General features: G+C 45.5%; 1 protein-coding gene and 1 long non-coding RNA gene across 3 annotated transcripts in view; one reads left to right on the top strand and one right to left on the bottom strand.

Moving 5' to 3' along the window:
• The window catches only part of ASIC2 (acid sensing ion channel subunit 2), a 1,143,682-nt gene that overhangs the window by 574,227 nt on the left and 545,857 nt on the right, over positions 1-23,598 (top strand). The window lies entirely within an intron of this gene.
• ASIC2-AS1 (ASIC2 antisense RNA 1) lies at positions 536-23,535 on the bottom strand. Of its 2 annotated transcripts, none has more exons than XR_001752838.2 (4): positions 23,320-23,535; positions 16,621-17,042; positions 13,085-13,207; positions 536-1,386 (listed from the first exon to the last, which is right to left on the bottom strand). It is a non-coding gene; the product is annotated as an ASIC2 antisense RNA 1 (long non-coding RNA). The 2 variants fall into 2 exon arrangements; XR_001752839.2 differs by lacking the exon at positions 536-1,386 and adding an exon at positions 9,893-10,554.

Genomic DNA, 23,598 nt, shown 5'->3' with positions numbered 1-23,598 from the left:
ATAAAGGCATAGAGAAGTTAGGTAACTTGCCCAAGGGTCACACAGCTAGCAGACCAAACTGAGATTAGACCTCAGACTCCAGACAACAGACTCTTAAGCGCTAACCTCTCAGCACCCTTGCCTCTCGGTTGAACACATCCTGGAATCTGCAGCTATTTGGGAAATCATTAATTTATAGACTGAGCCTGGCTCCTTTGCTTATCCTTTTAACATTTATTCATTGATTCATTCACTTATATTTATTGAGCATTTACTACATATCAGGCTGTAAGGCCTCCAAATAAATAACACCCAGTTTCTGCCCTCCAGGTGCTCACAACGCATTACTGTCCCTCCCCTAAGTGACAGTCTCCTATTTTGTAGATTACATTCATTTTCGACAGCTGTTGTAACAAATTGCCAAACTCGGTGGCTTAAAACTACACTCATTTATTAGCTCCTAGTTCTGTGGGTCAGAAGTTCAAGCTGTCTTCAGGAAGGAGAATAAGGGTCTGGAGGCAGGGAACTTAAGGACAATTGGTGCTGAATCCAGGAAAAACACCAAGGTGTGGGGACACGGAATCTGAGGCCAATTCGTGCTGACTTCCTAAAGCTGAATCAAAAGGATAGCACCTGGGTCTACGGTCAGGGAAGCTAAGGCCAATTAAACCAACTTCCTAAAGCTAAACCAAAAGGAAAAACCCCACCTCCCCGCTCCAGAGTAGCAAAGGAGCAAAGGCTACTCAATGTCTCAGATGGACAGGGAGAGTGCCTTCGATGGGCCGAGGACCAAGCAGGGACCATCCCTTCATCGCATAGGACACCAATTCACTTCATCCTTTAATTAGCCACAGGCCAAATTCTTCATCCAGATAAAGGGTAGCCAATAGGAATCTGAACAGGAGAACTTAAAACCCAGAAAACTTTGCAACTGGGCCCTTGAGCCACCTGCTTGGGCCGACTCCCACCCTGTGGGGTCCTTTTTCACTTTAATACATTCCTGCTTTCCCTACTTCGTTCCTATGTTTCAGTCCTTTGTTACTTTGTGTGTTTTGTCCAAGTCTTTGTTCAAAACGCCAAGAAACTGAATAACTTACACTCAAGGCCCTCCTTCCAGTAACAGCCTTGGGTGGGCTCTTTGATGTCATAGTGCTGAAGTCAATCTGTCAGCTGGCTGGGGCTCCTATCAGGAGGCTTTGGGAGAAAATCCACTTCCGGATCACTCAGGGTGTTGGCAGATTTCAGTTCCATGCAGCTGTAGGACTGAGCACTTAGGTCGTTTTCAACTTCCAGAGGCTGCTTGCATTCCTTGGCTCATGGCCTCCTGCATCTTCAAGGCCAGCAACAGAAAGTTGAATCCTTGTGCTTTGAATCTCTCTGACTTCACCTGCTGTCCTCCTCTTCTGCCTTTAAGAACACATGGGATTACATTGAGCCCACCCAGATAATCCAGGCTAATCTTCCTATTTTAAGGTCAACTAATTAGTAACCTTAATTACATCTGCAAAACTTCTTTTGCTGTAAATGTAACATATTCATGGACGTGGTATCTCAGCCTATTCAAAGATCCTAGAGATTAGAGGTGTGATCTTGAGGATGGGGACATTTTAAAAATTTTGCCTACCGCATAAACCAAAAAGGTGGTATCTACATGACCGTGGCCCATTAACCCTGGGTAGGTGCCCCTATGCAGATGACACTATTACACTTGTAGTGCTTGTATCCCATAGGCCTTTAAGCCATTTAATAAAAAGAACTTAGTTATTTTTCATATCTTGGGGAGGTGCTACAATAAGACATTACTACCACCTTATCTTATATTAGCTGAGACGCAGCAAGAGTGAGATCCCACTGACGAAGTACCTGGGGACCCCAGGGTCACAAAAACAAGAGTGAGGAGGAGGTGCTGAGCTGGGGTCATTGAGTCTTCACTCTCATTCTTAACTCCTCCTAATCCTGAGCTAACCTGATAGGTGCAGGGAGCCATTAGGACCCTCAGCGTCACTCATGAGTGCAGCCTGGCATTGGTTTTAGTGCAACAGACCCATCATCCAATTTGCCTAGTGTGGGCCCTGGGGACCCACACATCTACAAGTAACATCATTTGCATTCTTTCATGATACTGATGCCACCTGTAGTGCGGTTTCTACTCAGATCTCTAGTCCCCAGCTCTTTCCTTCCGCTCCCTCTTTGCATACATCTCTCCCACCACAATGGTCAAAGCCCTGCTCTCATAGAACTCTATACCCAGAGTTGCAGCAGTGCTGCACTCCTGACTTTGAGTCTTACCTGCCACCTGTATTTGTGATGCTGGGTCCTTTGCATTTAATTAGATCCAGATGGAATTGATATCCATCTGAATGGAGTCTGAGTTCTCCATGCCAGTTTGGATGCTGTATAAAGTGGTCTGGTGGTCAACTTACTACCCTGTGGGTACCAACCCTGGAGTTCAGGATGTTAATAAGACGTGAAGCCAGCTGGCCTTCTGGGTCAGGTGGGGACTTGGGGAACTTTTCTGTCTAGCTAAAGGATTGGAAATGCACCAATCAGCACTCTGTGTCTAGCTAGAGGTTTGTAAACATACCAATCAGCACTCTGTAAAAACGGACCAATCAGCATTCTGAAAAATGGACCAATCAGCTCTCTGTAAAATGGACCAATCAGCTCTCTGTAAAATGGACCAATAAGCAGGATGTGGGTGGGGCCAAATAAGGGAATAAATGCAGCCCACCCGAGCCAGACGCCGAAATCCAAGGGGTGTTTTTCACGGTGTGGTAGTTTGTTCTTTTGCTCTTCTGAATGAGTTTTGCTGCTGTTTAGTGTTTGGGTCCGCACTACTTTTAACAGTTGTAACGCTGGCTGCGAAGGTCTGTAGCTTCACTCTAGAAGTCTGCCAGACCAGGAGCCCACCAGAAGGAAGAAACTTCAGACGCAGCTGAACACCTGAAGGAACAAACTCCCGACACACCATCTTTAAGAGCTGTAACACTCACCAGTAGGGTCTGCCCTTTCATTCTTGAAGGCAGGGAGACCGAGAACCCACCAGGAGGAGACAATTCTGGGCACAGTAAGGCACGTGATTCTCAATGAATGTTGAATGAATAAACTGGATGGGTACCCCGCAGCCCTAGTCTATATCTCCTTGTTTTCTACCTTCCCCTCCAGAATAATGAGGCGGAGTGTTAGAGGTTTGTAAACATACCAAGCCACATCGTGTTCCAGTGTGCCCTGAGCCAACATCTGAGTCACCCACCTGCATTTTTTTTTTTTTTTTTTGAGACACAGTTTCATTCGTGCTACCCAGGCTGGAGTGCAATGGTGTGATTTTGGCTCACTGCAACCTCTGCCTCCCGGGTTCAAGCGATTCTCCTGCCTCAGCCTCTCAAGTAGCTGGGATTACAGGCGCCCACCATCATGCCTGGCTACTGTTTTATATTTTTAGTAGAGACGGGGTTTCACCATGTTGGCCAGACTGGTCTGAATCCCTGACCTCAAGTGATCCACCCGCTTCGACCTCCCAAAGTGCTGGGATTACAGGAGTGAGACAGCGCACCTGACCATTAACCTGCATTCTATAACCGCTTCCAAGGTGCTCCCTAGGACCAGGTGAGGATGCAGCAGCAGAAGCTAGAGAATTCTGACCCCATCCATCTTTTCTTGCCTGCTGTGGCAGGGTTTTACCACGGTCACTGTTTCAGGTCACAGACCCCAATGTTTAGCTCCACAGTTTAATTACAGTCCCTGAACTATATGAACTGTGACTAGACTAATCTTAGGATTATGCGAAATCAGCACCTTCCAGGTGGGGCTGTATTGAAAAGCCATTAGTGCCCCCTCTGTCAAGGTCAAGCCGGGTCAGTTGTAGAGTTGGTGTAGGGAAGAGGAGGGGGGAGTGAAGTAAATAAGGGGAGAGATGGAGTCTAATGACATAGTGACTGAACCCCAAACGTATAAAGATCTTCCCAAGAATAGGCAAAGGCTTCCCTAAGGAAACTTGTTTGAACTTTTTTCTTGGTGTCCCTTAGCCATTTTGTCTATGTCCCTTTATTCTTCTATCCGTCCCAATTGTCTCGCCCACCCATTTTACTTTGTTCAGTCTTTATTCATACTAAGGTGTAAATGACTGATACTGTAAATGAGTAAGGTAGCAGAGCCTGAAGAGATTTTAGAAATCATCTGGTTTAACGTGTCCTATAAATAAAAATTAAGGCTCAGAGAATTGAAATGTCAGCTTGAGTTACTACCAGGATTAGAAACTTCTAAACCACAGTGTTTCACTGTGCTGTCATTTGCTTTTAATGACCAGTAGATAGGGGAACACTTCTAAGGGCATTCAGAACGTCTCATCATTCCTAAAATCAGAGATTATGGCCCAAAGTAGAGTGGAAGGGGTTCAGTTAAATAAAATAAGGGCAGGTGGTCTCTAAACTGCCAGTAGAATGGGTTCCAAAGGTGTCTTATAAGTCAGCTGTTTAGGAGACGGGAAGTATGTTCCTATAGAAATTCAGCTCCACCCAGAAAGTACAGTCCTTGAGTCCTCGCTGTGTGCAAAACCTGTAAATGGAGATTGGAAGCCCAAGTAAGCAACAGAAGCGTGGCCAGGCTTGGATGCAGCTGGATGAAAAATGCTAATAATGGCATTTTCAACTCACACCTCAAGCACCAGGAACACACCACTGGCTGCCACTGGAAAGGTTCTCTTCTCTCCTTTGGAGAGGCCCTAGGCAGAAGGGTAGGAGTTTCACGGATGGTGGTGTAAGACAGGTTGGGGGCAGGCCGGGTGGAACATGGTGTGAACACAGAGGAGGGGAATGAGGCTGAGCAGTCATATCTGGGACATCTCTCAGTTGGTGGCTAATTCCTTAGAGAATGAGGGGACTGGTAAAAATAGGTGCTAGGGGAACTGCTTTTCCACTGTTGTTCATTTGCTGCACCCAAATCCCCTGTGGTTGGTAAGAATGCTCATTCCAGGGCCATATTCCTGAAATATCAGGTTTGGTTATTCTGGGGAGAAGTCCAGGAAATACTAATGCTGTGCCAGGTTGGGAAGCACTGGGTCTAGAGAACCAATACGGTAGGGTCTGTTGTCTCCACAGCATGGGGAGGCCTCTCAGCAGCACCTGAATCCCATGTCAGGCTGCCCTGCTCGCCGCTCCTCTTCCTTTACACCTCTCCCCTGGAGATTCCCTTCCAGAAGGAGCAAAGCTGTTTTCTGACAAGGAAATGCTTCAGTCTCTTCTGAAGCTGCACAGTAATTTAAGGGCTGCACTTAGACCTGGGGCCACAGAGGGAGCATAACATGTTCCAGAAGCCTTGGACTCCTCTTAAAATGACCCTCCCTTGCAGCAGTAATAGGAGGCTTCCCTGGGATACTGTGTATAAATCACACAGCACTCAGTGGCAATGGAGAGAGGGCTAACTGTCTTCAACATTGTCTTCTCAAGCCCTAGCAGTTGGGTATTCTGGCCAGAGGAAGGTATAAGAAGGAAAAGCAGAGGAGAAAAGATGAATGAAGAGGCTCAAAGTCAACAAAGAGGTCATACATTTGTTACAAGGTAATGTTTAATGAGAACATACTATATGTCAGGCCCTATTTTGAGCGCATTACACATATTAATGCATATAACCCTTACAACAACTCTATGAGGTAGGTGCTGTTGATACTCCCATTTTATAGAGAAGAAAAGTGAAGCCCAGAGATGTTCTATACCTTTCCCCAGGATCACAATGGTGGAATCGGTATGATCCTGGTTCAGGTCTGTGAGACTCAAAGAACCAGGTGCCCTTTGCTTTCTCACCATACTCCAGGTATAGCATTTATGGGTAGGGAGTAAGGAGAAAACATCTCCTTCTTGCATGCTATCACTGCCTGTACCAAGAGCACTGGATTGCAATGAGTTCTTATTAAGTGCTCACTTGGCCTTCACAGGTGCCCTGTGAGGTAGGTACTGGTATCATTCCCACTTTCCATTGGAGGACATTGGGCGCTGTAAGCCTAAGTAAGTCACTTGAAGTAACACAGAGAGGCAATCTGGCTCTAGAACTTGTACTATCTATGCTGTTCTGATTTTTCTGCCATAAATTAAGAATGAATGAAAAAGAAAGATGCAGACCTTGGCCAGGAGGGAATGAGGGTGCCTGCTATGTGCTAGGCAACATACTAGGGGCTCCCCATACCTAGTCACATCTATACCTGAATTACAACAAGCCTAGGCTTGGAGAGGGCCTTGCATGAGGTCATAGAGCTGAAAATGGCTAGAAACAGGATTTGAACTGGGTTCTCTCTGAAGTCTGTGCTCTTTTCATTCACCAGCACACACACAGAGGCACAAGTGCAAGGAATCAGGGGCACGATCTAGTCATGCACAACAGTCTGGGGCAGAATGCAAGCCTGAAAGCCAAAGGGTGCAGGGCTCAGGCAGGTCAGTCTGGTCTAGGCGGACTTCTAAGAAAAGGTAGAGAGAAGGTGAGTGAGTGAGGAGGTAAATCTGGAGCTACTTGAATGGTTTGGTTCTGACTAGGAACTGTGTCCAGTTTTTTATTTAAAACAATACTTGCATTGGATCGCTATAAATAAATGATGGACTCTGTTTCCAAATCGGCTTTTATTTTCATGTGTTAACAACTAATTACAGGCAAACTCTGCAGGCATCCCCTTTCTAAGCCTGCAGAGCCATTAGCTGTGGGGCGTTTGCTCTCTTGGCATGCATGTTTAAAGAGCCCCTTGCCTCTCTGTACTCCCTCTTTTGAAGGGGGGCCCTGCTTGCTGATAGCCTGCCCCTCTGCCCATGAAACCTACCGAGTCCAGAGCAGCTTGACTCACTTGTTTCAAATACAGTTTTCATGGAGAGGAAAGCAAGGCATGCATTTAGAGCCCCATTCATATCCTGTGATTTCTGGGAGCCCCTGGGTTAACATTTATCTCCGTACAGTTTTTGCAGATAGCACTGCCCAGCTGCCAATTCTCTTGGAAAAGAGGACAAACCATAGGTAGGCCTGAGTAACTCTTCAAAGCACCACCACCATATAAGCCACAAGCTTGTCACAGAGCTCCTTTCTTCACCTTTCAAAGAAGGAGAGTTACCTATTGACAAAACTCTTCCTGGGTGTTATTATTTATACCTAAAGGTAGTGAAATATTCCTTTATATCACACTCTACATTTCACAGTGCTTCCCAATCCAGACTAACTGGTCTCCTATTTATGGAATTATAATGACAGTCTATGGCATCTATGGAACTTGTGCTATGTGTTAAGTACTTTACATGAATCGTCGAATGCTTACAGAAGCCCTGGGGACTCAGTGCTGTTTGCATCTCTACCTTCATATGAGGAAAACAAGGAGTGGAGATTCAGAGATGAATCACTCATGAGGTAGTGGCAAAGCCAACCACTCTGCTGTTGGTAGAATGGGCTGGAACATTTGAGATCTTGTGTCCAGCCCCTTTATCATCATGTGAGGAGACTGACGTGTGGAGGCCAGGCGTTGGTCATATGGCCAGCTAGTGATAGAGCCAGGACTAAGATCAGACCTCCCCACTCCTGGTGCCACCTTCTTTCCACTCTGCTGAAACAGACAGACCTGAATCTGTACCAGTTTCTACTCTTATTGGTTGAGTGTCCTTGGGCAAATTACCAGATTCATTTTCCTCATCTATAAAATATGAATATTAACACATATCTTGTAGATCTGCAGCAAAAAAAAAAAAAATAGAAACAGAGACCACCCAAACTAGCTCTTCAGACACAATAAATGTGCCGTTCTATCTTCCTCTCTCCATGGCAAAGTTTTTGAGACAGAGAGGAACCACATCTATTGACTGTCCTAGAATATTTTTGTAAAGATATATGCAATTTGTAAGGCTAAAAATAGATTAACATCTATGAAAAATAAAGTGTTCCTATAAATCAACAGCTCTCAACTGAGGGCAGTTTTACTCCCCAGGGGACATTTGGCAATGCCTGGAAACATTTTTATTTTTTGTCACAACTGTTGTGGGAGAGAATTTGCTACTGTCATGTAGTGAGTAGAGGCCAGGGATGCTAGTAAGATCCTTCAATCACAGCACAGCACCCCTACGCAACCCCTGCCAAAACAAGGGATTATCCAGTCTAAAATGTTGATAGTGCTACTGCTAAGAAACCCTGCTATAAATCAATAAGAAAAAGATCAACAACTCAATAGTAAAATGGACAAGGCTATGGACAGGTAAGATAAAGAAGTGGAAGCAGAAATGGTCAATAGGCATGAAATACACCCTGCCTGGTGGATCATCAGGGGAATGCAAATTAAAGCAAGAGCAAAGGCCATTTTCCCACCATCCAAGGAACAGGAATGAAAAAATCTGAGAGTGCCAAGTACTAATTGATGGTAGAGCAATGGTAACTCTTATGCTAATGCAGATACAAACACTTTGAAGAGCAGTTCGGTATTATTTAGTTAAGTCAAAGATACACCTAAACGAACAGAACCACCTTAGAGAGCTCCTCCTCCCTGTGCAGGAGAAGTGAGCGGCACTCTGGTAGTGAGAGATTAGAAACACCCTAACAGTCCACCAAAAGAGAAGGAGATGGTCAAATGAGTAAGCAGCCTGTATCAACGTGGCTGAATACCAGAAACTTGATGTTGAGGGCAGAAAAAGTTACAGTGGATTCTGAAGATAGTACTTTTGCTTAGATAAAGATTTAAAGCAGGCAGGCTGCGTGTGTTGGCTCATGTCAGTAATTCTAGCACTTTGGGAGGCCGAGGCGGGTGGATCACCGGAGGTCAGGAGTTCGAGACCAGCCTGGCCAACGTGGCAAAACCCTGTCTCTGTTAAAAATACAAAAATTAGCGGGGCGTGGTGGTATGCACCTGTAGTCCCAGCTACTCAGGAGGCTGAGGCAGGAGAATCGCTTGAACCTGGGAGCCAGAAGTTGCAGTGAGCCAAGATCATGACACTGCTCTCCAGGCTGGGTGACAGAGCAAGACTCTGTCTTGAAAAAACAAAACAAAACAAAAAAACAAGATTTAAAGCAGGCAAACAAAACTGTTAACCAAGCTGATGTTTGCTTTCCCACATGTGCTGGAAGCATAATATCTAGCTTGGGAATATTCGTTGCAGGTGGTGGTTATCTCTGAGGAGGGAAGGTAGATGGGGAGTTGGATCTAGGAGAGTCACACAGAGGCCTTCTGTTGTATTTATAATGTTTCATTTCCTGAGATGGGCCGTGGGTATTTGTTTAATTTTTCTCTGTATTATTTTCTATATTTTATATACTTATAAATAAAGTTAAATGACAAAGAAAATAGCAGGGTATTCTAAATGGTCTAGTGGCCCCCTTTAACACAGGTTGGAGCAGGAAATCTGAGAAAGGAGTCCTGAGGGAATCTTCAGTCCATCTTATTCTGGATTCCTTATATGAACCATGCTTATCCAGGTAAACGTGTACCATGAAGCCCATATTTCACCTTCATGATGACATTGTGGCCCCTCTGAAGATTGGCACCTGTGCGTTTTGGGAAGACCATAGTTTCACACCATAAGAGGAAATCTATCTTTCTGGAAGAACTAAGATTCAGGATCCTTGTTCATTTCATAGTCAACTCCAAAATATGATAGGCAGATGGTTGTGACAGTCCCTGAGGACAGAGGAGATGAGGTCACAGGCAGTGTGCATGGTTGAAGGCAGGAGGAGGGCAGAGAATGGAATGTTCCCAGAGATGACAGCTGTGTGCTTCCAGCCAGGCCAGGCTATGGAGCAGGGGAAGGCACAAAGCAGGTACAATGGACAGCGCCCATCACTTCGTGCAGATCTCCTAAGGGTGGCTTAGTGTTCTACTTGGGAGTGACCATTGGTCCTATTTACTCACACTGACTCAGCCTTGATTCAGGTAAGCGGCTGGGCCTGGTGTCATAAGATTTGATCTGAAGATAAAGAGGCACTGAGTTCTATCATCACTTCAGTCTGGAGGCGGGAGCTCACCACCTTCAGTTTCAGAACTCCCCTATTTATGACCAAGGGTTGGGGTGTGGTAAGGGCAGTGGGTTCCCTGAGTCCCCCTTTCCTTGCCATGCTTGGGGAAGCCTATGGGTGTTGGGGATGTGGCCTAGATTCCAAGGACAAATCACAGCTCTGCCATAACCCGGCCTCACATGGAAGCATACGCTGCTCAGGTAGTGGCCATGGACATCACTGCTAATTTTCTGAGCCCCTGAAAGCAATCCTAGGAGGGTGTAGGCAGGACCCACAAAGACCCCTACCCTGGGGTGGGGGGGGTGCGTTTCTTTATTTGGAAAGCCGGGGTCTGTCGGGTTGATCTTGTGGGCTCTCTCTGAGGCCTTCTGGGCACTGAGCCAATAGGAGTGAGTGGTTCCATATCAACTCCTGAGTGAGGAAGTTACATTCAATAGAGGTCACAAGTGGCCTCCAGCCAAAATCCTGCTAATATATATGCACAGCAATCCCACCCATCTCTTGGTATTCAGTGTAAACTAAGCACATCACTCAATGTGGTCAGTTGGCTGGGGCAAAGTCGAAACACCAGATCTTCTAGCTTCAGAGAAGGAACAGGTAGAGCACAGTCTTCATCTTCTGCCAGAGAAAATGCCAGAAATATAATATCTCCTCTCACCTGGAATTTCACCTCAGTGAACAACCCCATCTAAACAAGAGCCTGAGAAGTCTTGAGGGATTGCTGGTAAACCCTTTGATGAGTGCTAATAGTGGTGGCAGGGTTTTTGCTCTTTTTAAAAAATGTGCACCCAGCACACATGCAAATGGCCGAGATGAACTGCTTTGAAGGAATTTGAATGAAACAGACAACATCCTCTTGTCTTTCCAGATGTTCAAGTTTTGTCTTATCAAACAAATTATACACTTCCAAGGAGCAGAGCACTCTCAGGGCATATAGAAGACTCTTGTAAACATTTATCAAATGGGAGCAAAGAGGCTGTCCACAACCTTCATAGCATTTCACACATTTATGTGTGATAAATGAATAAATTGTCCTAAATAACATGTTTCTGGGCATCTGCCAGTGACAGGAGCTGGGAGAGGGGTTATCAATGGGTTTGAGGCTGGATCACAGTCTTTGGGGACATTTCACTCATTCAGAAAATTTCTACTGAGTACCTACTCTGCGCTAAGTATACCTCTGGGTACTGTGATTAATCAGTGAACAAAACAAAGTTCCTCTAGGAAACTGTTGTTTTGGTGGAAAACAGGCAATGCACAAGTGAACAAAACAACAAGAAGTTAAGTTTAGGTAGTAATAACTGCTCTGAAAAATATGCGACAGGATGATGTGCAGACAGTTGCCAGAGTCTAGACATAGCCCCTGCCTCACAGAGTGTATAGGAGAGTCGAGATGATCTAGTGAGGTAAAAAGAGGGCTCCTGAGGTCATAGCCCAGGGTGTTATATGTCATCTCTAAAGTGGAGAACTTGGGACTAATCTGGAATGGTGTACGCTTCTGGGGGAGATTAGTCTGGTGAATGGAACAGGGTAGATGAGGTGGGGAATTGAAAAAGCTGGGCCCGATATTTTAGATCTCCTCCCATCAAAAGAGTGAAATCTCTTTCTCCAACTCTTGAACCTGGGCTGGCCTTGTGACTTGCTTTGACCAACAATGTGGTGAAAGAGATGTTGGGTGAGTTCCAGAGCTGAGGCCTCTGTGAAGCATCTGCGTTTATACTCCTGGAACTCCCAGCCTGCCACATTCTGAGAAGCCTAGCCTTGCCTCCTTGAGGATGAGATGCCACATGGAGAGAGAGAGAGGCCTGGTCATCCCAGCCATTCCAGTCACTTCACCCCAGACACGTGGGCAAGGCTATCCAGGGAGCTCCTAAATTGATGGTAGTCACCTAAATGAACTTAGGGAAGACCAGCAGAAGAACCACCCAACCAACTCAGAATCATGAGAAACAGTAGGTTTTGAAATGGTTACACAGCAAGAAGTAACTAAAATGGTAACACTCAAAGACACACACACAGCAGTGATATGGTTCTCTGGGACTAATCAATTCACAGAAAATGCTCATCAAATTTGGGGTAAGGGGACAGGTTGCATCCCAGTGCTGGGGCTCAGGAGAATGACACAAGTGTTAAAGCCAAACAGGCTTCTAGGTGAGCCTAACATGCACCCTTCCTTTAAGTACAGCGGTCTGAGAATAAAGGCTTCAGAGCAGAGCCTCACAGGTGCCCAGGACTCAGGCCAGGAGCCAGAAGCACAAAGCTTGAAGTATCAAGACTCATTCCTGATTTCTCAGAGTCCTGATGGGCTCAAGGCTAGATGGGATAGAGTCAAAGGCAATAGTCTTTACTAGGACTGAAGAAAGGCAGGATTCTTGGAGGAGAAAGACCACATTTATAAAAAGATAAATTTAAGGACACAAAAGTCAAAAACCCAAAGGGTGAGTCAGATGCTGACAGCTTTAGTAGTTCAGAGAAGGGGTAGATCACCCAGGAGACAGCTAGTGCAAGAGCAAAGGGGACAGTCACACGAGGAAGTGAAGACTTAAGTGAATGAAGAGTTGGACTGCAACAAACAAGAGGTGGAGAGGAGTGATGGGGAGGGCACAGAGGAAAGGAGAAAGAGGGCGGGAGAAAAGGAGAGGAGAAAAAAATCCAGCTTGCCCCAGGGGAAAGTGAGCTAAGGAAGGGTTCATATAGATATGATCAGGAAATATAGGCTAATTGGGAATGCTAAGACAGGCAACTTTGCTTCTAACATGCGACACATGACAGCCAGTCAGGGTTTTTGAGCAAGGAACTATGTGCTTTAAAAATGAATTAAGGGTTCATGGATGAATTATGGATACATGTATGGATGGATGGATGGACGGATGGATAGATGGATGGATGATATGCACCAAAAAGAAGAGGCAGACCTGTGCTTTAAGCTAAAGATATGAATGAGTGGATGAAAGAATAAATAGCTGGGTGTGTGCATGGATGGATGGATGGATGGATGGATGAATAAGTGCACACGAAGGAAGAGCCTGAAGAAGTCAATTAAGTCTTCTAGTGGGCCGTTCTGATGCTTAACATCCATCAGTGCTGCTGCCCTCCACTGCCTCACTCCCTGTGGGCCCATCCCATCAGCCCATTATTGCAGGCTCACCTGAGTGCTGGTGAAATGGTTCAGGAAAGTGTCATGAGAGTGACAGGGGCTCATTGATCACAGACAGTCTCCAGCTCTTTCAACTCTTCCAGTGAAGCACAGATATACTTGAGCTGCAAGTCCCTGGGAACAGATCACAACAGCATGGAATGAAGGCTACACGACAGGGGACTCAGACATGTCACCATTCTACATGCCTTGCAGGCCCCACCTCCAGGGCTTTTGCAAAGGGCGCCCCAACCACCTTGCCTTATTATCACGGCATTGACCACAGTGCCAGGCACACAGTAGATGCTCAATGAAAATTTGATGTGTTGAAATGAAACTTCCTGGGTGAGACAAACAAACAGGCTATGTATAACTGACACCATCTCCACCATCTTATTCTCATGAAACCCTTGGTAGAGAGAAAGGCAAAGTGAGTTGAACAGTCCATAACCTGACCTTCAAGGGAAGACATAAATCAAAACTCATCAATTTTCAGGGAAATAAATTCTATGAAATGAGCCTGCCATCTGCCTTTCGTGATATAAATCAAGCTCCCATTGACTATTTTATGCCTACAGGCTGAGTTCCATATCCCTTAGCAAAATATACACAGTTCTCCACAATATGACCTTAAGCTGTAAGAACACCCATATGGCCATTGATTTATTGATTGCTAACTATATGTAAAGGAATATATCAGGCATTGAGATTCTGAGGTGAAATACATTCCTTCCCCTCAAAAAGAATATTATCTATTAGAGAGATAGGTATGTATATATGTATTATATAGTTTATGTATATCTAGAGGGTAATAAAAAGGCAGATATATCCCTATAGCCTCATATAACACAGAGGGGGAAGGGATGAATGATTAACTCTGCTCGAGGGTCGTGAATGGTGTCATTTCATACTTAAGATGATTCTGGAAGGTACCATTTCCGGAAGTTTACCAGGCCAATGAGAGGGACAAGAACACACCAGGCAGAGGGAACAGTCTTATTTAAGACCCTTAGTTGCAAGATGTGGAAGTTGAAATGAAATAGGGAATTTAATATCCAGAGACCTTGCCTCATCAATTCAGAGGTTGGTTGCACAAGTCCAATGAGCGGATATATAAAAATGCTTTTTGTAAGCTATAAAGTGCAAGCCAAAGGTAAGGGCTTATTATCAAAGGTGCTCAGTATATGGTTGGTGATTGATTGGTCAATTTGACATAACCCAGTGGGAACAAGCTATCACATCTTCCTGAACCAAGGTATGCTAATGGAACACCTGCCAGCACAAGTCTCTAACTGGAGGGCTCCCCTGGCACCCATTTGGGTCATGTTTGACTGTGAGAGGACCAAAGGAGGGCATAGGTGTGGAGGGAGGTCAGATTGACTTGTGACTGAGGGATGATGTTACTGCCATTTGAAGAGTAATCAAATATAAAAACAAAATGGCTTGGTGGTGACCAAGTAAGGTAATGAAAAGAAGGATATCCATGTACCATTTGCAATTTTTCAGTAATAAGGACATTGTGGAAGTCAAAGCCTTCATCAACAATGGACTAAGTATCTTCTTTTCTGAAGACTTGCGCTATGTAGAGTGGGGGAGAGAGACCAAAAAAAAAATGCATGGAATCTCCCCTCAAGGAGTCTGGGACTTGTAGCAAAGTCTTGCAGTATGGTTGACAAGTTCTAGGTCCTAACCCAGCTCTTGACCTCTACCTCCAAACTCACTCCCCCACTTGTTCCCATCTCAGTAAAAGGTGCCTCCATGTACCCAATTGCTCAGGCCTTAATCTGAGATTCAATTCCAGTCTATCCCTTGCCCTCCCTTTCCACGACCAGCCTGTCCACAAGTCCTATTGACTCTCCCTCCACAGGAGGCCCCAGGCCTGCCACGCTTCTCCCTCCAGAGACACCATCCTGCCTGGAATACTGTTTTTACTCTTCCCTTCCCACTGTCCAGCAGCCAAATGAACCTTTCTAAAATGCAAATCAGTTCCTGGCACTTGCTCCTCTCATACCCTTCCCTGGAATTTCCCTTCATGCTTAGACCAAATTCACATTCTTTGCAGTGGCCCAGTGAGGCTATCAAGCTCTGTATAATTTAATCCCTGCCCATTTTCTGACGCACCTTCACTCTCTACACTCCAGCTACGCTTGCTGTCTTCCTTTCCAGAATTGTTCTCACCCTGGGGCTTTCACCTTTCTGTTCCCTCTGCTAGAAATGAAGGTCTTCTCTCAGACCTTCATAAGGCCACTCTCTCACCGCTTTCAGATCTCAGCTCAGAGACTTCCCCAATGGCCCTCACTAAAGCAGCCACCACAGCCACCCCAATCCTGCCACTCTTTCCTCCTCCAGCCTTGTTTCATAGTCATAACAGCACATATGGTAGGCACTAAATACATAAATTTTGAATGAACACATGCAAGAGAAAACAAGGAAAGGAATACTCATATCTACTTGAAAGAATCATGGAGCTACAGGAGCTGGGTTCTGGAAGATGAACATGATCTCACCAGGGGAAAAAGAGCAAGGGCATTCCAAGCAGAGGGAATAGCACAAACCAAGGCAGGAAGATATGGAAGGATGTGGCATGTGTAGAGGAGTGGAGGCAATGCAGTTAAGAGGAGCAAGTTGAGACAGCAGGGGACACAGTCAGGAAAGATCACGGAGGGCCCTGTGTGTCATGCCAGGGAATGGGTGTCTAGCTGCAGGGGGAAGACATCTTAAATCATGGGAGATTATCACAAGGAGTGGGTGGCAAAGGGAATCCTGGAGATAGAGATTACTGTGCCCGGACCTGAAAGAGCTTTGGGGTTCCAGGTGGCTCAGGAGCATTGCAAACCTTCTATGACTGTTCTGCTGTAAGGGGGAATATACTATAGCACATCCAGCTGCCCATGCTCTCCCAGGTCTGTGTATGTCTGTCTCTCCACTGGCTAATAACATGTTTTGTGCCCTTAGTTCAAAGTCCTCAGATGACAAACTTGTAGTTGCCTACTCATCTTTTCTATTAACAGCAGCCACAATGTATGGACAGCTGGCAGCCCAGATGATTCTCTCTGGAGCTGGGTGTTCCTGCCTGGTTCAATCAGCTGAGCCTTGGTTAGAGGGAAGGGCCCAGCAGGGACTGTGGAAGGGGTGGCTCCTTTATAGGAAAAATAAAAGGATCTACCATTCCCAAGGCTGTAATATGGCCACCACAAAGAATCTTAACACTAAAACCAACCAAACAAACAAAATGCAATTATCTCAAGTATTCCAAGTATTTGTCCTGAGCTAGGCAGAACTCCCATCTATTCTGTACTTCAAGTTCCCCTTCATGTATAAGCCCTCCTGACAAAAGGACAGAGGCAGAGTAACAGAGAAAGACGTAAGGGAAGGGAGAGCTGAGTGAGGAGGGCTTAGCGCACCTGCAGGCTGATCCCAGCCAGGAAGGGTGCTCCCAGCTACAAGAGGAGAAGCCACATTCTAACAGGCATATGCAGTAAGAAAACTCCTGAGTTCACATCATGGGAAGTTCAGAATCAGCCCCAGGTGTGACAGTCAACACTCACCATGCTGTCAGGGCTTAGGCTCCAGTCTGCGCTCCACCCAGGAATCAGGAAACCTCAGTGCTGGTTTCACCTTCAAGCTGTTACCTAGATGTCTTCAGCAGTCCTGAGTGCTACACACAGGACAGCGTCCAGAGGAGGAAGAGAAGCTCTCTTCTTATGAGTCTCTTAGAAGAGAGGAGAGGTTTTCCCTAAGTTTCCTAACAGACTCTTTTCCCTCTCTCATTGGCCAGAATTGGTTCACATGGCCCTTCCCATTGTTAGGGGGAATGGGATTATCCTCAGATCAGTCTGAGGGTGGAGTCACCTGAGGTGGGAGGCCTGGATCTCTGAACCAGTTCTGGGTTCTCTTGGTAAGGAAGATGAGGACGTGCATGGGCACTGGTAAGGCAGATGAAGTGTCCACTTTACCTCTAAGGACTGTTCTGGAAAACAACAGAGAGCAAGGCACAAAGAAAATCATGGTACAGGGACTGCAGAGGTGGTGCTGTGTGCACAGATATGGAGGCAGAAGTTCTGCTTTCAAGTCCCAGCCCTGCCACCTACTAACTATTATGTCCTCCCAGAACCTCAACTTGCTCACCTGTAAAATGAGAATTTGAATATCTGCTCTGACTCCTATAACTGTCTGAAAACCCAAAGAAGGCAATGAGGGTAGAAGTTCCCAGCCGACAGAGTTGGATGGCTCATATGGAAAAGCTAGTTATTATTAATGAGAGAGAGAGATCCTGCAGGACAGAGTTGGAGGGAAGGGCAAGCCAGGGACACAGACTAGTGCCGAGACCAACTCAGTCGGGGAGACCCTAACCCAGCAGTGCTAGAGGAATTAAGAAATACAGAGGTGTGAAGTGGGAAATCAGGGGTCTCACAGCCTTCAGAGCTGAGATCCCCGAACAGAGATTTACCCACGTATTTATTAACAGCAAACCAGTCATTAGCATTGTTTCTATAGATGTTAAATTAAATAAAAGTATCACTTATGGGAAACGAAGGGATGGGCGAATTAAAGGAATAGGTTGGGCTAGTTAACTGCAGCAGGAGCATGTCCTTAAGGCACAGATCACCCATGCTATTGTTTGTGGCTTAAGATGCATTTAAGCAGTTTTCCATCCTGGGCAGGCCAGGTGTTCCTTGCCCCCATTCCCATAAACCCACAACCTTCCAGCGTGGGCGTTAGGGCCATTATGAACATGTTACAGTGCTGCAGAGATTCTGTTTATGGCCGGTTTTAGGGCCAGTTTATGGCCAGATTTTGGGGGGCTTGCTCCCAACAGGCTAGGGGTGGCTTGCTGGCACTTCGAGGTGTGCATGGCAGGCAGTGCCATTATGCTGCTCCTCAGGGGCATGGATAGCCTCTGCAACCTTTGGATATTCCTATTTGCAGAAAGACAACAAATAAAAAGGATAATTAACTCAGGAAACCCAAACAGAGTTTTGTACTTTATGTGACTTTCCACTGACCCAGGGACTGTACTGGTGCTGCTGGCAAAGATCCTAATCTCTGGGATTAAGGGCTTGATCCCCTTAAATCAGCACTCCTGGAGGTGGTGGGGAAAGCCAACTTCAACCTGATCCATTGCAAACTGACCGGTGGATTAACGAGTCAGGGCAGGCCTCCTTAACTGAGACTTCTGTTTTTCAATATTGAGGTTTTCTTTAAAAATCTCCACTAATTGGATTGCTGACTTGGAGATAGGGATGCAGGCTTTAAAACGAGAGAGGAAGACAGACAGAGACAAGGCAGTGTGTCTGTGTGTCTCAGAGCAATGCACCTTTATCCGGTTCATCTCAGCCATGCAAGACCGTGCAGGGCATCAGCTCAGCCTCACCTCCTCAGGGGGGCTGCCGCGGTGCTCCTCCCACCACAGGAATATGTGACTTCCTGCAGGGAGCTCCTGGTTCCAGTGTCAGGACTATGGCCCTGATTTCTACTTTAGCCATCTAATCTCGTAAGAAATATTCGAGTACCAGAGTTAGAGATGCATGTCTGTAGTCAAATGCAGACTTGGCTCTCCAGATGGCAATAGTGAAAGGAAGCCCATCCTGCTGGTCAAAGCATCCAAGAAATAAGGCAGGTGGCCAGGAGAAACCTGGCTCTAGCATCCCACCCATCTCCTTTGCTACAGATGGGCTTGGGCAAGTCACTCCCCATGTGGCCTTGGATTCGCCATATTAAAAGCTATGGGGTTCTACTAGATGGTCTCTGAGATCATTTCCAGTCTGGCCCCTCACTGGTTCTTTAACTGGGAGCAGTGGCTACAAGATTGGATCTGGCTGAATGCTTTTTCTCATTCAGCCTGATGCACTCCAGAAGTTTCAGGTGGAATCACCAAGGAGCAGACCTGAGGCCATGCAGCTTAGAAAAATAAGAAGTAGGTAAAGGCCAAGAGTACCTTCAGCATTTAGTGAAAAATGCTCCAGTGGTGGGCTGGGGATGGGGAGCAGGAGGAGGTAGAGCTATACATTTTTACAGATGCCTCAAATGCAAGAATCAGAAGGAGCCAGGGTTGGGAATGAGGAAGCGTGGATTTAATTCCCGGTTTATCCTGTGAGCAGTCACTTCTTTCTAGGCTTCAGTTTCATCCACCATAACACAGGAAAAATAATATCTACATCATTAGGCTGCTGAGCAGATTGGATTAGCAGACATGTAAAGTGTCTGGTACAGGACAAATACTGTGCAAATGTCATTTCCCTTCTTGTCCTGTGCTAACTGAAGTATCACTGTCTTCCCACTTATCAGAAGGTCTGAGCAGAAAGCCTCATCATTTTAAGTAGCAAAACTCTGGAGATTTAAGCTTTAGAGGGAAGCTTCCCCAGTTTGACGGGTGGCTGGCTGTGCCATCATGGTTCCTTTGGCCCAAGAGTTCCCATTCCCTTGAGCAATCTCCCTGCAACAGCTCCTCCTAGAGCCCACTAGCCTAAGCCCATGAATCCTGTGGTTCTCCTGTGGAGCAGCTGCAACTGGCTGTGGTATGCAGGGAAGTTGCCTAAATACTAAGGGAGTGCAGAAAATGAATCAAGAGGGTGACACTCAGGCCCAGTTTATCCTGTGGTCTGAGTGTGGGATCCACATGTCATCAGAGGCAGCCACCCATCCAGCCCCTTGCTTGATACCCCTACCTCCTAGCTAGCTGCTGGGTCCATTCCAAGTAGTTGGTGCCATCTTATCCAGGAGCTGCCTCACATATCAACCCTCTGGAGGCTAAGCCTTAGAGTCCCATTCCTGTAGGAAGCCCCCAAGCCTATCACATGCCAGCTCTGGTCTGAGACGCTCCTTTTTCCCAAGAGATAGGTGCCAAGAGTGACTTCCCTTATCAGGCAAGACTCACTCCGATGCACAAGAGTGTGACGTGCTCTCTCCTGGTGGTGGCCCTCCAGGACAGGTAGCATGTCACGTCCTACACTGATGCAGCAATGACATCCATCGGTCCTAGACAGTGATTCTTCTGCTTTTTTCCAAGCTGGGAATACAAGGCTGATGATTAGGAATGGGAATGGCAATTTGAAAGCACATAAGAAATCTCTGAGGCTCTGTATATTTGTTCAATCATTTAACAAGCATTTCTAAGCACCTAGCGTACACTAGGTCTGTGCTTGGCACCAGAAAGCGACAGAGATAAATCAGATGGAACCAAGAAGCTTCTACTGTATTGGGAAAGATAGCCCCTGCATAAAAACAGCCATTTAGAAAAAAAAAAAATGTGTTACAAGAAAATGTCAAATTTGAAAGTGCAGAGAAAGGTGAAAGGGGCATTTGGCCCGTACAAGTTGAAGAGGGTTTCACAAAGGAAGCGGCCTTTGAGCTGAGTCTTGGAGGATGGTTCTGAATGTCCTGAGAACAACAACTGCCACTGACTGATTCCCTGCAAGAAATCCTTTCATCACTCCGGATTGGAACAGCTATCCTGAGATAAAACCCGAGAAGTCTGGGAAGTGAGGAGGGAACTTCGAAGAGGAGTCTTAGGAATGTGAATACTCAAATCCAAGATCTTAAGATCTCACTAGAGGGATGCTTGTGCACACAGTCCTTGGTAGAAAAACGTCAATCACTGAACTAAGACGTGCATCTATTTTTGAAGTGATCTGCACTTCTGGGAATAGCCCCAAAGGGAAATTGGTCATTGATTGCTAGGAAACCAGCAATTCCCGCTGGGCTTTCTGCTCCTTGCCATATTTGCACATATTTTTTTCCAGGCTCCTGCCTGCTCTTCTTTCAATACACACATCCAAACTCACACCAGCATATGTTCTAGCTCACGCCCCCTATGTCTGTCTGAATAAAAACACCAAAGTGTATAAGAAAATGGATGGTGTTCTACAAATTGCAGCACTCCAAACGATGCAGACAGTGGAAGAAGAGTCCACTAACAAGAGTTTCTGTGTTTTGTTTCTGTTCAGTCTTCTGTTTCTATCACCGAAGCTAATTATTTGCCTTCCTGAAGACCCTTCACAAATGTAAAGTGGGGTTGCCTTGCTACAGGTGGGAATGAATTTTATAAATGTTGCATTGCATAGCAAGAAACTAAGCTTAGAGAGCACCTGCCAGTGCTATCAGTTCTATGTTAGATCAAAGCCTCTCTTTAATTGATTTTTAAAACCCAAGCATGTCAAGCCAAGCACACAGGCATGGATGTTATACCTGTGCCTTCCGGACTCCAGGATAAAGCTGGAATTTGACCTTTGGCCATGACATATATGCATACATATATCCATAAATTCTAGTGTTGGCCTTCATGAGTGGGGAAGTGGAAAGAATTCTTACCAGTAATGAGTGGGCCTAACATTCTCATTTCTGAAATGAGAATCTCCCTTTTCGTCATAACGATGCTCCCTTTTCTCTGTAACACTGCATTCATTACCCTATGGCCCAGGAAACAGAAAGGCTTGACCTCTGAAAATTTAGACTGCCCAGAAGTATGCCACCTACTACTGCATACAAAAAAACAGGATGCACACCAGGGAGGCGATGTGGTATTTTGGAAGGTCTATGGGCTTTGGAATTAGATAAATCTGGGTATGAATTGAAGTTCTGCTGTGTATTAGTTGTGTGACTTCAGTCAGATACTGTAACTTATCTAAGCTTCAGTTTTTCACTTCTAAGATAAGAATAATAGATCCTAACGTATGGAGTTATTATAAAGATAACATGAGCTAACTCATGGAAAGCCCCAAGCAGTCTGCCCTCACCCAGAGGATACCCAATAAATGTGAATTTCTGTCTCCTGCTAACCTCCATGGTCACATTCGTTGCTTCTTTCACCTTGGGAGTATTTTCTAGGGCACAGTTTTGAAACTATATTTTGGAGAACTTTTGACCTCATTTGAGTTCTTTCCAGAGTCTCAAACCACAGACCCACACCTCGCTTTCCTCTGAACATTTAAAAAAATCTTCCTTCGAAAAGGTCCTAGATACATTGCTGCCCAAATCCTGCTTTTCCCTTCCCTGAGTATCATAAATGCCAATTTTCCTTATCTAAAATTTCCTGTCAGATTTATTTAATCAACTCATAAGTCCTTTGGGGCCTCCCTTGGTTCCAAAGTAGCAGTTGCCTTAGTCATTTCCTCTACTGTCTGGGAAAGAACTTGGTCTCCAAGGTGATTTCACTTTCTCTGATCAGGGAGGACGTCAACATCACACAAGTGGTATGCTTGCTATCGATCTGTTTTCTCTTCCTTTAGGGTTTCTGTGAAAAACTGGTTGAGGTGTTATTTTTAGCAAATTGATGATTGCCTCTGCCTGCGCACATGTCCATCTGTCTGTCTGTGAACACAGCCAACCGAGGTCCAAGAAAGCTTTCCTTGCCTTGCCTCGACAGCTGTATTCATCTTAAGAGCTTCATGCTGAGCAAATGGTTTAAGGCCTTTGGTGATTGAAAAAAAATGGCAGTACAGTAACATGGGCTTCAATTGTCACATTTTCTGCACATGAGGCCTTTGAGTAATTTGTAGTCAGCATCCTGAGTTGGAATTTCACCAAATAGTTCACTATTCTCCATACTATTTTATGCTACCCTGCCTTTGCTTATGTTGTTCTGTCAGCCAAAAATGTTATTTCTTGTTCATTCACTTACTCAAAAATAGTTATATCATAGACATAGCTATCATAAGGCAGGTACTACACTGTGTGTTGGGAATTTACTGATGGGCAAAAACCCATACTGTCCCTTACATGTCATCTTCAAAGCAATAAGGGGTCATTGAATAATCTTAAAGAGGGCACTGGATATGATCAGATGGAAATATCACTCTGGCTGCAGAGTAGAAAATACATTGAAAAGAGCAGGTATGAATGTGGGGATCTCTGCTTTTGACAATAATGGAGACACTGGCACTATGCTAGCCCTCTGCCATAAGTGACTACAAAACTAGGCAGAATATATAAGGAAACTGCTTTCTGGCAATGGCAATGGCAAGACCACGACCTTTGAAAAAAAAGAAAATTATGAAGTGAGATCTCATTTTTTTCAGTTCTTCATTTAGGGACAATATTCTAGCTGTGATGTAGAGGGGCAGAGCCCATATAGAGCATGACATTCCCACTGACCAGAAGCAGGAATCAGATTTTGAGACTACTGAAGTGACTGGAATCTGTGGGGTAGGCCATGATAAAGTGGGGAGCTGTGAGGAAGGGGGCCCCAGATATCTTTGTGGTAGGAGTCATGGACAGCACAGACACAGGGAGAAGGCATAAAAGCTTACCAGGAAGGGCTGTTATGAGGTTGAGAGTGGAGCAAAAATACTAGAAGTCAAGTAGTGCTAGAAGATACTGGAGTTCTTGCTCAGTCAGAGTGTAGAGGCCTTGTTAACACCTGGAGATCCAGTTAAGACATCAGAAAGCCATGCCTTAAGAATAAGGACCATGTCAGCCAGGCATGGTGGCTCATGCCTGTAATTGGGAGCCCATGGCAAGTGGACCACTTGAGGTCAGGAGTTTGAGACCAGCCTGACCAACATGGTGAAACCCCATCTCTACTAAAA

The sequence above is a fragment of the Homo sapiens genome, chromosome 17 (genome assembly GCF_000001405.40).
Source record: "Homo sapiens chromosome 17, GRCh38.p14 Primary Assembly".
NCBI classification, from domain to species: Eukaryota; Metazoa; Chordata; class Mammalia; order Primates; family Hominidae; genus Homo; species Homo sapiens.
Note: the sequence above shows the minus strand (reverse complement) of the source record. Positions and strands in the feature narration are given on the sequence as shown.